General features: G+C 40.9%; 1 protein-coding gene and 1 long non-coding RNA gene across 9 annotated transcripts in view; one reads left to right on the top strand and one right to left on the bottom strand.

Moving 5' to 3' along the window:
• Positions 1-18509, top strand: part of FBXW8 (F-box and WD repeat domain containing 8) — a 120199-nt gene that overhangs the window by 65487 nt on the left and 36203 nt on the right. For all 8 annotated transcript variants that reach the window (XR_001748654.1, XR_007063065.1, XM_024448937.2 and 5 more), the window contains 2 exons: positions 8770-8966; positions 12227-12433. Coding sequence is in view for 6 of the 8 variants with exons in the window: in XM_024448937.2 (XP_024304705.2) it covers positions 8770-8966; positions 12227-12433 (404 nt within the window). In the remaining 2 variants the exon portion in view is untranslated. The remainder of the gene's footprint in view (positions 1-8769; positions 8967-12226; positions 12434-18509) is intronic.
• Positions 1004-10901, bottom strand: LOC100506551 (uncharacterized). The gene is made up of 4 exons (NR_103809.1): positions 9218-10901; positions 8747-8940; positions 3814-3983; positions 1004-3153 (listed from the first exon to the last, which is right to left on the bottom strand). It is a non-coding gene; the product is annotated as an uncharacterized LOC100506551 (long non-coding RNA).

Raw genomic sequence — 18509 nt, forward strand, 5'->3', positions numbered from 1 at the left:
TTTCCAAAGGATCCTTTTTTTTTTTTTTTTTTTTTTCAAAACAGAGTCTCACTCTGTTGCCCAGGCTGGAGTGCAGTGGTATAATCTCAGCTCGCTGCAACCTCCACCTCCCAGGTTCAAGCGATTCTTCTGCCTCAGCCTCCTGAGTAGCTGGGATTACAGGCATGCACCACCACACCGGCTAATTTTTTTTTTTTTTTTGTATTTTTATTAGAGATGGCGTTTCACCCTGTTGGCCAGGCTGGTCTCAAACTCCTAGCCTCAAGTGATCTGCCCTCCCTCAGCCTCCCAGAGAATACTTTTTAAAGAATAGTGTAGCCATTTTATTTTAAAATGTCAACATTTACAAACATGCCAGATGTTACGTTTTTGCCACTACTTACAACTTAGGACAAAAAAAATTTATCGGTTTCATATATAAAACGGGAAAGGCAGGCCTTGTTTTTCAAAATCATTTCAGGGGGTAATCAAAAAAGTCTGAAGAGCACTGGTCTGGAAGGCAGGTGGCCATGTGAGTCTCCGTCTCTATTGGGCTCTTGTGATCCACTCTGGGCACAGGGGAGGGAGACCCGAGAGCCCCACCCCAGACATCGGGGCCTTGTGGCAAAACCATCTATTTGTTGGGGGGATTTGCATTGGTATCTGAATGCCCAAGTGAGATGTTAGGCTGTCTGTGGTTTCTGTCTTCTCATTCTTATTTGGTGTTAGGTAACTCAGAACCGACTGCAGTTTCGCCATCATTTAAATCTTTATGTAGACTTTTCCCCCTGCTTTTTATTTGAGCCATTTATTACTTTCCTTGAAAGGGAATTAATTGATAGTATAATTTTAAGATTTTTTTTTCAGGATTTGGAATGGGATTTCTAAAGGCTGCAAAATGTCATCACTAGAATTTTCACCGTAGATCTGAGAAGACACTTAGTCTGCAGTGTGGCTGTTGAAAACGTTTGTAAAACACAAATTAACGTATTTTTACTTTTGTTAGTGATAGCCTTTCAAATGGTTATTCTTAAAAATCTTTTATTGTGAAAAATTCAAAATACACAAAAATGGAACGAATAGCATGATGCACCCCCGTGTACCCATCACTCAGCTTCAGTAGTGATCTTTTTTTTTTAATCTACTACCACCCAGTCCACTGATTCCCCACTCCCCTCCTTAGAGGCATCTGCTACTACCAGTGTCTGCTGATCTCTTCGGGATAGAGTCTATATCATGTGTATATCGGTTATAGAGAACACTGGCCTCAGTCTGAGGCTGCATGCACAGTGATGTCTCTTTCACGTTACCTGCCCTCTGGAACTTTCCCTTGTAGAAGCTGGTCCAAATTCTTTGCCTTCTCCATCAATCTGTTTTTCCTAAGATGTTAACTGGAAATTCTTCTATCTAGTCACATTGCCATAGTCTTAACAATATACTATTTGCCTCCTTTTCAGTCTGCTGTCTCGTCATTTTTCATTCTTCTTTTTCAGGTGTTCTTTCTGCTTTGAATTTGAGAGCTACTAAATATATTCAATCTTACTTCCTCTTCTCTTGACTCAGTTTCTATTTTGGTGATCTCGCTGCTTTGTTTATGCCCTAACCAGTCGCCTCCTCCATAAGCCTATTCAGATTCTTTTACTTGTCAATCTAAAATGCAGATTCCAGAATGTTTTCTGTTTATTTTCTGCCTTAGGCAACAGAGCTGTAGCGCTGTGGTCAGCGGGAAAGCAGGATGGCATGCCACAGTAGCTGCAGTAACAAGAAACTTCAGCCTTTTTCCTTTTTCGTGACCCTCCGTGGTTTAGCTGTTCTTTATGACCCTTGTCTACACTGATACTAATCTCCCACCGGCACCTCTTCCATGAAGAGCAAAAACTTTTGTCCTGTCCAACTTTATGCTAGTTTTATGTCTCTGGCCTGCATTTCAGAGTGGTGATGTGTGGACTTAATGAACAAAGAGGTACGTGTTAAGTCAGTGCTATGGGTATATTTAAAATTTTTGTCAAAATGCCTTTTCCTTTGTTGCAGAATTTCTTTTGACTCCTGATTAATTTCTGATAGGCAAGTGTTTATTTACATGGTAGAAATTGAGATTGCCAGCTGTCTTTATTATAAATAGTCAACTTCATTCAGTATCTCTGAACGCAGTTAATTGATCCTGTCTATTTAACGATCATGAAGTTGACACCAAGCTTCAGGTGTTTATTGTGGAAGCTCAAGAGGATGGGAGCTCGCGGCTGAAATAATTTCTAATCAAGAAACCACTAAAGACCACAAGACCAGCTCTGTAGTTGAAGAAGGGACTAGTCTATGACCTTTCGAAACTGTTAACCTGTTTTAAATTTTGTGGTGCATGGAAAAGATCAAAGGGGAGGGAAGAGTATACCAATTGTGTTTTTTTTCCAAAACCAGTTCAGCAGTTATTTACCTTTCAGGCAATTAACATAATTACCATTATGCTAAAAAGTAATTTTGGAAAGTTCTGCCCTGAGCTCTTATGACTCCACCGGGACAGTTTTAGTTGGGACTTATCTTTTTGATGGAAGCTTAATTGCAATTTTGGCTTTGTGCACACAAACAGAAGCAGCTAATTGTTTAGGCAAATAGCAGATTAATTTAAATATGCATCCCTAATAAAACAAAAATGGTATCCATTATGGTCCTTGTTCCCATGACGAAGAATATAAATATTCTGTGCAAGTACCATTAGACAGAGGTCTTAAGGATTGTCGACATTATTTCACAGTGGTAGCACTTTCCAGATATCGAGTAATCTTTACAAAAGCTAACATAAATCAGTTTAAACTCATTTAGATCCCATTTCCACTATGTGCAGTTTCATTACCACACTCTGGCTGGCCTCCTTAGGGAGGTGGGAGGGGCCTGCTGCAAACTGGCATGGGTGCCCATCCACAGCTGCTGAGCAGGCTTTATGTCTCCTCGAAAGACTGGCCATCGTTACTCATGTCATCGTTAATGGCTGTTACTGGTCTAGGCTGAGCTCAGAGTTCCTTCAGCCTGGCTGCTGCTTGTCAAGGTGGAGGGTCCTGAGCCCAGGGAGCAGGTGGGAGTGCCAGGCCCTGCCCCTTCTCCTTTATTGGGCCAGTGGTCCTCACTTGTCTTCTGGATGTTTCAAGAGACCCAGTTTCTTCTTTTGTCTGCATCCTTTTCCTGTTTGTTATGAGTGAAACAGTATTGTTGCAATCCCAGCACTACTCAGAATTAATCATCTTTTATCCAGCTATTGAGGTTTGGTCAGGAAGGAAGAAAAACACCTGCTCTTTCTGTTTCTCTAGTGTGGGGCAAAATGGGGGCTATAAACTCTGGCCTTCAGGATGATGCCTGGTGCAGGGAATGGCAAAAAAAAAAAAAAAAAAACACTTGCTTCTTATGCCACTGCCAAGAAACCAAGTAGAACCTCCCTTTGTGTTTGCTGAGACTTTTTCTCTTGTTTTACCTTGGCCTACTGTGCAGGAGAGAAGTCGTAGAGATCTTTGGGCAGGGGGTTGTCTCCTTGCCCTGAGGTCCCTCCCCAGGCCCTCTCCAGGTGGGCATGTTCATAGTATTTGAGTTAGTCTTTTGGCCTCAGCTAATTGGATGAGGGATGGGGCCCCAGTTCTTGGGGGAAGCTGATTCATGGACTGGGATGGGCTGGTTGGGACTCAAACTTTGTTGCATTCTTGGAGTAGAAGACCTCCTGGAATGGGGACAGCCACCTTTCTCCATGTACCCAGGGATGAGAGAAAGCTGGTTTCCGAAAAGAAGAATGAAATAGAATTGCAGAGAGAAGCAGAGATAAGATCTGTGGTGCACACAAGTTACATACACTACCTTGGTTCTGCATGTCTTCCTGGTTCCTGGTTCTGATCCCTTATCACCTCCAGCTGTACTTCCTGCCCTTGGGCTCCATGAAGTAGCCTCATTCCTTTCCAGTCAGTTTCCTTTTTATGTTTAAGCCAGTTTCAGTGGGTGTCTGTTTCTTACAACCAAATGTTCCATTGCTGAAACATATGACAAGCATTAAGCAAACCTTTATTGATGTACAGCCACATCCAGCACTGTGAATTCCTTACCATAGGGCATAGAGAGGGAAAAGGACACAGTCTTGCCATTTCACAAGTTCACAGTGTCAGGAGCCAAATCCATTTCATTGCTAGGTCCGCAGTATGATAACACTTGACCTTTCAAATGAATTTATATCAGATTTAAAAAAAAATACCTATTTGAGAAGTGAATTTCCTTGACCCTGACAGGCATTAACTACTTCTTCCTTAGTAGTTATGCAATAAATGCAGACTTGGTTCAAGTTAAAACATCTAGAAAAGTTTGCTGCTCCTTTTCTGGGGTCTTAAAATAGTGTGACAGCATGACCAAAAGTTAAGCTTATTCATTGTTCCATTGTGCTTTGTGTATATCTCTCTGTGATCATTGTGTTTTATATTTTAGTTATTAAATATTTGTTTCTCTCCAGTGTGTGTTTTATGAAAACAGGTATCCTTTCAATTCTTATATGTCACTAAAATGTTGGCTCGATCAGTCAGGGACTTTTTTTGTTTTATTTTGTCTTATTCACTGTGATATCCCCAGTCCCTAGAATAGTGCCTTGGTACAAAACAGGGAGCTCTGTAACTACCTGTTGAATGTATTATTGCATTGATTCCTTTTTGGCTAAATGTAGCTGATGATAATCAGCCACACTATTATAGAGCATTCTTGTAATTCAGTTATTCACTATTCAAGTCCTTGCAGTTTTGAGATTATAAAAGTAGCCATGATATAACTGTAGTAACTGATAAATTGACCATTTATAAAATTAGCTTTCACTCAAACACCCCTCCCTGTTAGCTTCTGTATCTATTCCTGCCCACTCTGCCCATATGCTTTTGGGGCAGATATCCAACAATACAGTTCAAAGGGAAATTGCAAACCTTGCAGAAGCTGCAGGACTTTGTGATGTTGAAAGTGACAGTGAAAGAACTAGAAGTGGTAATTACATGGATAAATAGAAATGGCTTTTTTATTATTTAAATATCTTTAAAAGATAATTGCCTGCTTATGCAAAAGTAATAACAATGTATTTAAGGTTTACAAGATGTACAAATAAAAAGTTTGTAACATATGTAGAAATAAAAAGTATGACAGTAATAGCACAAAGGCTGGAAGGGAAGAAATGGAAGTATGCTGCTGTGAAGTTCTTTTTTTTTTTTTTAATTGAGACAGAGTCTCACTCCGTCACCCAGGCTGGAGTGCAGTGGCACTATCTTGGCTCACTGCAACCTCCGCCTCCCAGGTTCAAGCAATTCTCATGCGTCAGCCTCCTGAGTATCTGGGATTACAGGTGCCCACCACAATGACTGGCTAATTTTTGTATTTTTACTAGAGACGGGGTTTCACTTTGTTGGCCAGACTGGTCTCAAACTCCTGACCTCAAGTGATACGCCCACCGCAGCCTCCCAAAGTGCTGGGATTACAGGCATGAGCCACCACACCCAGCCTAAAGTTCTTATATAACATGTGAAATGATACACTATTACTTGCAGGTAGACTGTGATAAAGACTTATGTTAAAATCCAAAAGCAACCTCTAAAATAACAAAGAGTTTTGGCTAACAAGCCAACAAAGGAATTAAAATGGAATAACCACATTTAGTTATCCCAAATACTCAATCCAAAAAATAAAAAAGGCAACAAAAGAGGAGAAAAGGGAGCAAAGAACAGATGGGATAAATTTAAAAAATTAGCAAAATGGTAGATTAAACCCAACCTTATGAATAATCACAGTAAATATAAATGATTTAAACACCCCAATTAAAAGCAAGACCAACTACATGCTGTCTATGGAAAACCCACTTTAAACATATAAAGACACAAGCGAAAAGATGGGAGAAGTTCTGCATGCTAACACTAATCGAAAACTGGCGTGGCCATGCAAAGTGGATTTCAAAGCAAAGACTATAGTAACCAGGGATACCGAGGGACTTTGCCTGTGATAAAGAATCAACTCATCAAGAGGACATACAATCCTAAATGATTTTGCACCTAAAAATGATGTTGAAGAACTGTGCACGTGATATCAGCCCCCCGACAAGTGAGGATCTGATCAAGTGCGACACTTTATAATTGAAGTAGGGGAAATCGAAAAAGATGAAGACACAACAGGCTTTCAGGAGAGAAAGATTTGACCATTTAATTGATGGAGCCCTGGATTTTTTTTTTTTTTTTTCCCAAAAAGACTCTTCTCAGGATAGCTCTGTGCTACTCAACCTTGTGGTGAAGGATATTTTATTGCATAAAGTTCTGTTGGAAAAATGATGCCAGCAAAGCCAATACTTGATTAATAATGAAAAATGTGTTTATAGATAAACTCCATGTGTGCTTAGAGTGAGCTGTGGTTAAATAGCTTCCACGCTTGGCAGCACCCAGGGTGAGTGTGATGGTGTACGTCAGTTACTCATTGAGCTCATAGTTATTTTATGCACTTACAAATGCAGCCGCTCATCCTGCACTTTTCCAGCTAAATTCCAGCCCAACTTCATGACGTACCAAGTCATGACATAACAAGTGGCTTTGGACCAAGTTGTTTAACCGCTCGGTGCTTCTGTTTCTTTTCTGTGAGAGGAGTAAAATGGTGCGCCTCCCAAGATGGAAGTGAATGCCCAGTGAGAGGAGACACACGAGTCTCTGAAGACTCAGAAGCTCTATGCAAATGGGAGTTTTTTTTCTCTTTACTGTTGTGATGTCTCAAAACAAATGCAAACAAATGCAATGCAGAGTGTTTGAAGGAAGCCCATGTTAAGAGCAGACATCTTGGCATGGGAGAGCCGATCTCCCATCTGATATGTAGAGCCACTGGCATTTTCTGCAGCATATTTTTCTCTTCTGAGTCAGGATGGAAAGAATTTGCCAAAATAATTGCCAGGGGAATGTGCTGTGGAACCTTTTGTGATCCGCTTATCCCCCAAGTTTATCATAATTCTTAAGAGTGCACTGTGTTTTAGATGCGAAGCAACATTTAGCTTGAAGAAGGCTCTGCTTTTGTTTATAATTGCTTCCTTAGCCTACTGACAGTTTGGAAGTCTGGCAAAGCAGCCCAAATGTATTATTTTCTTCCAATTCTCTATATTTATTTAGTGCTGAATGATCCTTTATAGTAAGATCCTAAACTCAAAGCATTTATAGTTTAAAGACAAAGTAGAAGGCAAGAAAAAAGAAAGATAGGAAGATACACTGCCAAGAGAAGGAAAGCAAAAAGCTTGGTCTGTTCTAGATAATAGGAAGTTATAGGAAATAGGGCTAGATTTACGGATGATCAATAGAAGGGGAATTAGCATTGATAGATTAAATATGTTTTATAACACAGCAGGAACTATAGACTGCATAAAAATAAAAGACAGAAAGGAATGGTCCATCTTCAGTGCTTCGTGTGGCCGGTCTCCTTTCATCTGCCTCACAGTCCTATGTAGTAGGTAATGTTGTCTTCAACTTTACAGAAAGGCTAACAGGCTCAGAGCTGTTAAGCAGCTCCCCTAAGTCCGTCAGCTAACAAGTGCTGGAGCTGGATTTGAACTCAAATAGTCACAAACTGTTATCTCCACACATTTATTTCTTGGTGAATTTTGAAAAATTGAATCAATTGGAATTGGAGCAAGGCATTAACCAGCCTAATGCAGAGAGTAATCATTTTCTTGGGTAAATCTTCGAAGGGAAGGAAATAGCTTGGGAATGATAAAAAGAAATTATTTTTGAGGAAAGAAGAATCAATGAAATGCTAAGTACAGAAAAGGTTATCTGACTGGAAAAGCATAAGCTCCTGTAGACCACTGGTCCTAAACTCCAGTGGACATCCCCAGAGTTACTGGTGCCTGACAGTCTGCATTTCTAATAAGTCGCCACGTGGTACTGATGCTACCGGTCTGGAAACCACCCTGGAGAAAGGGTGTGTGGCCAGTGTGTGAAAGAGGAATTAATCTGGGTAGCAGCATTCCAGGTGCTGGGAGAAGAGTGGAAAATCGGCATTTTTGGCAAGTGTGGGATATTGAAGCACAGGTTTTAGAGCTGTGCAAAATAAAGCACTGCTGCTAACAGAGGCTTTAGGAGGATGGCGCTGAGGAAGGATGTGAAATTCAGGCTGAGCATCCCTAATCCAAAATTCCAAAATGCTTTGAAACTGTTTAAGCACTGACATGATGCTACATGTAGGAAATTTCACATCTAACTTCATGTGATGGGTTTGTAGCCAAAACACAGCCAAAACTTTGCTTCATGCACAGAATTATTTAAAATATTGTATAGACCAGGTACGTTGGCTCACACGTGTAATTCCAACACTTTGGGAGGCAGAGGCAGGAAGATTGCTTGACCCCAGTAGTTCAAAAAAGCAGCCTGGGCAACATAGTGAGACTGTGTCTCAGCTAAATTAAAAATTAGCTGGGTATGGTGGCACACGCCTGTAGTCCTGTCTATTTGGGAGGCTGAAGCAGGAAGATCACTTAGGCCCATCAGTTCAAAAATGCAGTGAGCTATGATAGCACCACTGCACTCCAGCCTGGGCGAAGAGTGAGGCACTGTTTCTAAAAAATAAAAAAGTAAAATAAAATATTGTATAAAATTACCTTCAGGCCATGTGCATCAGGTATATATGAAACGTAAGTGATTTCGTGTTTAGACTTGGGTCTCATTTCCAAGGTATCTCCGTTAAAAAATTTTCCTTTGTGTTGCATGTTTTTAAAATAATTGAACATATTAAGTAAATTTAAAATTGTTACCTGCATTGTTTCTTGCTGCATAGGGTTTCTTAATATTTGGGATTTAAGGACCGGAAAGTACCCTGTTCATCGTTTTGAGCACGATGCAAGAATACAGGCACTAGCCCTCAGCCAGGACGATGCAACCGTGGCCACAGCTTCTGCTTTTGATGTCGTGATGTTATCCCCCAATGAGGAGGGGTACTGGCAGATAGCTGCGGAATTTGAAGTTCCGAAACTGGTGAGCTTTTTAGTCTGGTCATCTTATTTTCTATTCTTAGAATCTCTGGGTCTAATGTAAGCACGTACTAATGGTGTTGGTAACTCCCATTCACTCAGAGCTTCCTGCGGGCCTTACCTCCATAAGTCTAACTACAGCCTTACAAAATAGGTAGTAGCATTTTCCCCATTTACCAAGAAGCCACTTCAGGCTGCTTAGAGCAGTGAACTGACTTGCCCCAGTTCTCAGAGGTAAGAAGTTACGATTCAAACCTCAGGGCTGACTTCAGGGCCAGAGCTGCTCATCACTGTGGTTCCTTGGCCTTCTTCAGACTAACACGGTGGAATCTCACCCTTGGGAATCAAAGATCAGTTTGACCTAATATATAAGTGAGAATGAGTTCAGTGGTGTTATCCCAGTCCATCTGGGAAGGAAGGTTTCCATTCCTACACTTTCTTCATCCCAAGACTGTCTCACCTGAAATTTAAAGTAACTCTTGCGTGAAGATAGATTTAAGTTGGTGTTAATTGGGTAGCCATGTTCCAGGATGTCATGTGTGCAGCTCAGCCAGCCTTAAGAATTCTTTATGTCGAGCTTATTTCTGAGTTCATTGGTACAGGAACCTCTAGATTTGTAGAGTGGGAGATGATTTGGTGTTAAGAAGGAAGTGCTCAAATCTGTCTATGCTGAGTTAGGATTTAATTTAAACAAACTTGATTTTGGCACTGGTAGGAGAGTGAGCAGAAAAGCCAACACTGAGTGATGAATTGAGGGCCTGACCTGGAACCAATCCTGTTCCTCCCTCTTTCTGTCTGTTGGGAATCTTCTTAGACTAGAATAACTTAGAAAGCCATGGCATCACTGCTTCACCTCCAGGAGCGTCTGCACTTTGAGTATAGTGCTCCCCTAAAATGGCCTGATGCTGTCAGCTCATCTGGGTTTTATTAGAAAAATGTGAAAGTACATTTCTGTTCTCAAAACTTCCATAGTACTTACTATTTAGTCTGTGATTAAAGAATACTGTGTCACAAGGTCAGGAGATCGAGACCATCCTGGCTAACACGGTGAAACCACGTCTCTACTAAAAATACAAAAAATTAGCCGGGCGTGGTGGTGGGCGCCTGTAGTCCCAGCTACTCAGGAGGCTGAGGCAGGAGAATGGCGTGAACCCAGGAGGCGGAGCTTGCAGTGAGCCGAGATCGCCACTGCAGTCCAGCCTGGGCAACAGAGCGAGACTCCGTCTCAAAAAAAAAAAAAGACAAAAAAACAACAAAAAAACGAATACTGTAGACCAGCAATCACTGTATGGACCCAGATACTTACTTAAGATGCCAGTTTCTCTGTAAAGTGCAAATCCTGCCTTGGCAATAAGGTGGCATCCTGGCACAGACTGGAAGCTTTTTGAACTAGTTTACAGCCCCCAGCAAATGGCACCACCACTGTCAATCTGAGCCTCTTGGTCTGTCAGAAAGCCAACACGGAGATAAAGTTAAAGGGCTAGACGGAGGATATCAGTTGTAGGAAAATGAGACATGATTTGGGGGAGTGAGAGGAACCGAGCAGCCATTGTTCAAGGCGGGTTTTATGCACGTTTTAGGAATTATTTTTCACTTTGAGTGAAAGGTTCCCACAAAATGCTCTGAGTATCCTTGGAAAAGGCACCCCTGGCCCGAAGAGCCAAGCCAGTTTTGTCTTGTCCATATACGCCCCTGAATGGCAGTGGCAGTGTTCCCAGGTCTGCGATATTAGCCTAGTGCGGCTGTCCTTTGTGATGGACCCGCAGCTTGCGGAGCTGGGCCCGAGTATTAGCAGAGTCCCCCGGATGTTGACGCTCCCTCCAGCTCTTCTGGACCGTGTTCTGGAGGCCGGCTTTGAACTCTTTGGCATATGGTCAGGGCAGCGCTGTCCTTTCACACTGTGGATTTTCATAATTAGTGTGGCTCACCTTCTATGTGTCCTCTCGTGATTTACTCGCAGAGGCGAAAGCCTGTTGCGAACGGCACCGCGGAGAAATGGGCCGCCTGTGGATGGACAGAATCAAATTATTCTTGAAAAGTGCGTCTCAGACTCGTGCACATTAGAGAAAGTGCCGGCGGTGACGCAGTCAGGACTGGGGAGCGGGGTGGGTAGAAACATGCGTGTTTGTAGAGCCTTCCTTACCCTCTGGTGGCCAAATGGACCCTGATGACGTTGAAACCAGGAGACAGCAGATCACTTGGATATTTTTAACCTTTTGGCCACACATTTTGACACAAATGTTAAAATTTTTTTTGCGAATTTGGAGCTGAATGTTATTTATTCAGTTCATTGTAAACAAACAAACAAACAAAAAACACAACAAAACCAAAAAAACCCCAACCTTTTATTTTTTGAATTGCTATTACATCCCCATGGTTCAGAATTTAAAAGACACAATAAAGCTGATGGTGGGAAATCTCCCCATCTCATAATCCACTTCCCTCCTTGAAGGCAGCCATTGTTAGAAGATGTATGGATGTGCGAGTCAAGCGCATTGTGTACTTTCTCCACCCCCACCTTGTACACATGTCAGCAGGTGGGGTTACCTAACTCATCTTGCATCCTTGCTTTACCCGCTAAGCTTATCTGGGAGAACCATGCCATTTGTTTCGTTTTATAAAGAACGTTTTCATGCTTCCCTCTAGGACTGCATGGTATTCCAGCGTATAGATACACTGAGTTATTTAATTAGTCCCTTAGTAATGGGTGTTTCTGTTTTTCTAGTTTTTAGCTAAGACACAATTGTACTACAGTTCATGAATAACCTTGTACATAATCATTTTTTATATATGTGAGTTTATTTGTAAGTAACTTCTAGAAGTGGATATCCTGGGTCAGAGTGCATGTTCATTTGGTATTTTGATAAGAGTAGCCAAAGTTCCCTTGATACAAGTTGGACAAGATTATATCCCCACCAGCAGTAAGTGGGATCCAGAAACATGGAACATGGTTTTCCCTCCTTCACTTCCAGCCCAGGGTGTTATCAGATTTCTTGATCTTTACCGATATGAAAGGTGAAGCATCATATTTCAATGAATTTTCATTTTATATTTCTCTTTTTAGGTGTGTCTTATGTTTCTCTTATACTGAGCATCTTTTCTGTTGTGTAAGAGCTGTTTGTGTTTCATTTCCTGTGAGTGTTTCATTTGCCCATCTTTTTCTGTTGGGTTGCTGGTCTTCTCATTGATGTGTAGGTGGAATTGCATATTTTTGATCAAGTCAGGATGAATTTATGGGACTAAACAACTCTTACCTTTTAACAGGTTCAGTACCTTGAAATAGTTCCAGAAACCAGAAGGTACCCTGTGGCAGTAGCCGCTGCTGGAGATCTGATGTACCTGCTCAAAGCCGAAGACTCCGCCAGAACCCTCCTTTACGCCCACGGCCCGCCTGTCACATGTCTAGACGTCTCGGCCAACCAAGTTGCTTTTGGTGTACAGGGTCTGGGATGGGTGTACGAAGGAAGCAAGGTACACAACTAGCAAGATATATAATTAACAAAAAAGAATATAGATTTATTTTTTAGAAGGGAATTGAAAAATTAAAGCTCTTCAATATTTTTCCAGATATATCAGGCCAGTATATAAGCATGGTCAAAAAATTCAAGAACTTCAAAAGGATTGCAAATGAAAAGTAATCATTTTCTTTCTCCTCCCTTCCCCCAACTTCCCTGCACAGAAGAAACTATTAACAGTTTTTAGGTATCCATCTAGAAAAATTTAATGCATATATAGGTACATTTGTATACTAAAAACATATTGTTGTAGAGATGGGATCATAGTATACATAGTGTTCTGTACCCAACATTTTTACTCCATAATGTGCCTTGGAGAGAGGATTCCATGTCAGCTTTTACCAAGCTCTCCCTCTCTAGGATTCCAGCATATGCTTCTAGCTCATAGCCTGTTTAGCCAGGCCCCTCACTGGTAGGTGTTTAGCTTGCTTTCACTGTGTTGGCTGCTATAAGCAATGCTACAATGCATATTGCAGCTTGCAGAAGTCCTTTTATATATAGTGTATCTCTAGGATGTGTACTTGAGATAATGATGGACATTTTCAAATTGCCCTTCTAAAAAGGTGCATCAGAATTCACATTCTTACCAACAGTGCATAAAAGTGCATTCTGATGCTCTTTGAGCCAAAAGCAGGAAGACAGGTTTTTAATGGAAATTCTTTGAGTGATGACTAAATTTTATCACTCCCTAGCATGTTACTATCCTGACTATAGGCCAAATACTTAGTCTAAAAGCTGATTTATAGAACTCTCCCTACCAGTGGGACCAAGGGGGAGAGAGAGAAAGTTTTTGTTTCATTTTGGGTTTTTTCCCAATTTCCCTGCTCCTGACCCATTCTGTCAGTTGGTGGGATTCCTGCGAAGGAACGTGTCTGGGCCAGCAGACCCTGTGTGACTGTTAGTAGTTTCCTTAACCCTCTTTATGCCTCAGTTTCCTCATTTGTAAAATAGAGTTCATAATAGTGCCTGCTTCTTAGAGTTGTAGGATTAAATGAAAAGCCATATGTAAAGCTTGAGGCATGGTGCCTGGCACATGAGAGCTCCCGACCTGTTAGCTCCTGAACCTCCCGTTATTCCTCCCACCCATAGTTGGATTCCAGCCTCTGGTGGTGCCTATTTTTACATCTTACTTCCTCCATGTATTTGACCTGTAAGGTCAAATCTCATTTATGTAGGTGTGATTGGCTTTGCAAACTAGTAAATGGTCAAGAATGGAAGCATCTTGGATCCCAGTGATATATTCTTCATCCAGGAAGATAGACTAAGCGGTAGACGATATGTGTGGCATCCTATCATCTCAATGTGAAACTTTATCATCTCACTGTGAAAAGGCCTCCCCTTGTGCTGCAAACTTTATCATCTCATTTGTGCTGCAAATTTGGTGTGCAGTTTGGTTGGGGCATCTCCGTTGTGTCCTAGCTGGAAGATGTGTCATGATATTACTCCTGAGTTTTGTCTTCCCAGGAAGTGGGGAAGGAGCAGGAATTGTTTCCTAAGGCAGTTTCCTTTCTCATGCTCTAAAAAAACTTTCTTTTCCCATCCCTGGTGAGCTCATTTGTTGAGAGAGGGGAGACCATTTTGCTTTCTAATTTTTCATCTGGTATGCTTTCAAGTTTGTGTTATCTCATTTATTTTTAGAGCTCTCAGTATAGAGAGGTGATAGTTATATTCAGTACCAGTCTGGTTTAAATTTTTCATACTTTTTATAAATGTTTTCTCCTTGACTTATCTGAATGGATTTATTCCTGTAGTAATACAGTTGTAATGGATACATTTGAGAAACTACTTAAAGGGACAGTTCAGCACAAGGATCCTTCAGATACAGATGTAAGGCAGTGGGGTTTTTTTGATTCCTCTCAAAATTTCCAACTCAACTAAAAGCATTAACTGTAAGAATCAGCTGATAAACACATTAATTTTGTGAAAAATCCTTGGTTAAAAATGTATAGTCCCTGGCTGGGCACAGTGGCTCACATCTGTAATCCCAGCACTCTGGGAGGCCAAGTCAGGAGGATGGCTTGAGGCTGGGAGTTTGAGACCAGCCTGGGTAACATAGTGAGACCCTGTCTCTACCACACACACACAAAAAAAGTATAGTCCTGTAAGCTGGTGTTTTCGCTGGTGTTTTAAAATTAGGAGTGGAAATAAATTTGCTGCAAGAATGTTTCTAAATGTCTCTTTGGAAGCTGACAGTAGCATTTAGTCATCCACATATTTTGTGAGCATAGCACCAACCCTCCAAACACTCATGTGGGTGAATGGCTGCTTGCTAGTAGTGTTGGTAATAACTTTGTGTTGAGATGTTTCTCCAACAGGAATGCCACCCACTCAAAAGTAAGAGGAATACCAAGCTTCATCTATGTAACTTTGCTTATTTTTACAGAGACAAGACTTTCCATCTGATTGTGCTTAATGGATTTTCTGCTTCCTCAGAAAAACTTGAATTTTTAAGAAACGTAATTGTCATATAACAGCTCTGTGTGAATTAAGTCATGTCATGGGTAACTCTGTGAGATTTTAGTATCCTCCTGCTGTGCTCTAATGTGATGTCATAATTCCCAAATAGTCTCATGTGCGAGGCTTGGTGTCACTTTGCTTGCGAATACCATGCTTGAACATCTCTGTGCTTCAGCCTGGTGGCAGCGTGTGTCCCAGCACGTTTTATTAGGCTGGTGTGAGACTATTAGCAGTAGAGTTTGCCTGGAGCTATATCCACACTAGGGTTTGTGTCTGTGCCTCTGGCCTGTATATCTAGGATTCAGATGAAGGTTTTATGAGAACAGAGCATTTGGTTTATATTTGTTTGTACCTGATACAAAACTGGGATTTAGCTGTAGTCCATTATTGATTAACTGTGATAAAAGCAGACAGTGAGGTCCAAATGTTGAAATTGACTTTTAGTCAGAAACTTAAAGCTCCCTAACCTGTTGAAGTATTCCAGAGGTGTAATTTTTGTTTAGTTGGAGAATATTCTTACACCGTATGATGCCCACATTAGCATGTTACAGGCACCTCAGCTGCATGAGCATGGAGTAATAATGGCTCAAATCCACCCATTCCTATATCTGGCTAGCCAACCCATTGTGTATTCATCCCAAATACTGAGCTCCAGTAGTGTTCCTGGCATTGGCATGTTAAAACAGCATTACACACAGATTTCAGCAAACTGGTGCTTGTCAAGGAACCTAGCTCTGTTAATAAACATAGTTTTCTAAGGAAACAAAGCCGAGTAATTTAGCAAAAGCTTATCTGTCTAATCTTTTTTTTAAAAAAGTCTTTGAATGTAGCTGGCTGATCAGTCACCTCCAGCTCGGGTAGGAAGGGATCAGACAGTCTGGGCCCTGAAACATCTTGATTTGCTTGTTGGGCAGGGGCTCCCAGACTTGGGTTTCAGACATCAGAGTTAGGGGCCACACCTGGGTTTGCCAGCAGTGTTATGGGCCACGTAAAGTCATAGAAAAAAATAGCAACTATGTATTTTTGCCCTTTTTTTTTTGAAGATCAGAGTTTTGTTTTTTTTTTAATTCGTTCTATTTCAGTAGCTTTAGAGGGGTAGAAATGGTTTTTGGTTACATGGATGAACTGTATAGTGGGGAAGCTTGTGCTTTTAGTGTACCTGTCACCCAAATAGTATACATTGTACCCAGTACCCTTCTGAGTCTCTAGGGTCCTCCAATACCACTCTGTGCCTCTGCATACCCATAGCTTAGCTCCCACTTATAAGTGAGAACATGCTGTATTTAGTTTTCCATTCTTGAGTTACTTCACTTAGGATAATGGCCTCCAGTTCCACCCAAGTTGCTACAAAGGACATTTCATTCCTTTTTATGGTTGAGTATTATTCCATGGTGTGTGTGTGTGTGTGTGTGTGTGTGTGTGTGTGTATCACATTTTCTGTATCTACTCATTGGTTGATGGCACTTAGGTTGGTTTCTTATCTTTGCAGTTGTGATTTGTCCTGCAATAAACATATGTGTACAGGTGTCTTTTTTATACAGTGACTTCTTTTCTTTTGGGTAGATATCCAGTAGTGGGATTGCTGGATCAAATGGCAGATCTGCTTTTAGTTATCTGAGAAATCTCCATACTGTTTTCCATAGAGATTGTGCTAGTTTACATTTCCACCAGCAATGTATAAGCATTCCCATTTCACAACATCCATACCAACATCTATTGATTTTTGACTTTTTTTTTTTTTTTTTTTTTTTGAGATGACGTCTTGCTCTGTCGCCCAGGCTGGATTGCAGTGGTGTGATCTCGGCTCACTGCAACATCCACTGAGCGGGTTCAAGCAGTTCTCCAGCCTTAGCCTCCCGAGTAGCTGGGATTACAGGCACGTGCCACCACGCCTGGCTAATTTTTGTATTTTTAGTAGAGACGAAGTTTCACCATGTTGGCCAGGCTGGTCTCGAACTCCTGACCTCGTGATCTGCCTGCCTTGGCTTCTCAAAGTGCTGGGATTACAGGTGTGGGCCACCGCACCCGGCCTGTTTTTTGATTTTTTAATAATGGCCTTTCTGGCTGGATAAGGTGGTATCTTATTGTGGTTTTAATTTGCATTTCCCTGATGATTAGTGATGTTAAGCATTGTTTCTTACGTTTGTTGGCAATTTGTATATATTCTTTTGAGAAATATCTGTTCATGTCATTTGCCCACTTTTTAATGGGATTATTTGTTTTGGCTTTTTTTTCTGCTGATTTATTTGAGTTCGTAGTAGATTCTGGATATTAGTCCTTTGTTGGATATATAGTTTGCAAATATTTTCTCCCATTCTGTGGGTTGTCTGTTTACTCTGTTGATTATTTCTTTTGCTGTGCAGAAACTTTTTAGTTTAATTAGGTGTCATTTATTTGTTTTTGTTACATTTGCTTTTGGGATTTTAGACGTAAATTATTTGCCTAGGCCAATGTCCAGAAGAGTCTTTCCTAAGTTTTCTTCTATAATTTTTATGGTTTCAAGTCTTAGATTTAAGTCTTGGTTAATTTTTATATATGGTGAGAGAAAGGGATCCAGTTTTATTTTTCTACATGTGGTTATCCAATTTTCCCAGCACCATTTATTGAATTGGGTGTCCCGTCCTCAGTGTATCTTTAAAAACAATCCTAAAATTAATATGGAACCAAAAAGAGCCCAAATAGCCAAAGCAACCCTAAGCAAAAGGAACAACTCTAGAGGCATCCCATTACCTGACTTCAAATTATACTACAAGGCTATAGTAATAAAAACAGCATGGTACTGGTGGTAAAAGTAGATATGTATTGGTACTGGTGTAAAAGTAGATACCAGTACTGGTATAAAAGTAGATGGTACTGGTGTAAAAGTACTGGTGTAAAAGTAGATATGTAGTGGTACTGGTGTAAAAGTAGATACGCAGACCAATGGAATAGTACTGGTGTGAAAGTATGGTACTGGTGTAAAAGTAAATACATAGACCAATGGAACAGAAAAGAGAACACAGATTTTTAAACATCTAAATGTATTTTTTGACTGGGTAATGCATTCACCTAATTCAGGGATCAAAAGATAGGAAGGAAGGGTATGTGGTGGGAGGACTCCTTCCCACTCCCTCCAACCTGCCACCCAGTTTCTCTATCTGGAGCCAAACCAATGTTGCCAGTTTTTTGTGCATTCTTCCTAAGATAGTTTATGCACTTATAATCAAATTACCATATGTGGTCTCAACCCCACTTTAAACAATGAGAATAGTAAAGTGCTACATTTTTGTCTGCAGCTTGCTTTTTCCTGCAGCAGAATCACTTGGAGATCATTTCTATGACATAACAAAGAACTTTTTCATGTTTTGGTTTTGATTTTTGCAACTTTATAATATTACACTTTGTGGATGTGCTTTAATTAATTTGCTGGCTCCCTACGGATGGATGCTAGATTGCTCCTGGTGTTTTGCTATTGTAAACAACACTTGGTCCACATGAATGTATTTGTAGGATCATTTCCTCCAAGTAGACTTGCTGGGTCAAAGGGACATGTGCCTCCATGATTTTGATAGACATTGCCCTCCACAGAAGTTGTA

Source organism: Homo sapiens, chromosome 12, assembly GCF_000001405.40.
Source record: "Homo sapiens chromosome 12, GRCh38.p14 Primary Assembly".
Classification (NCBI taxonomy): Eukaryota; Metazoa; Chordata; class Mammalia; order Primates; family Hominidae; genus Homo; species Homo sapiens.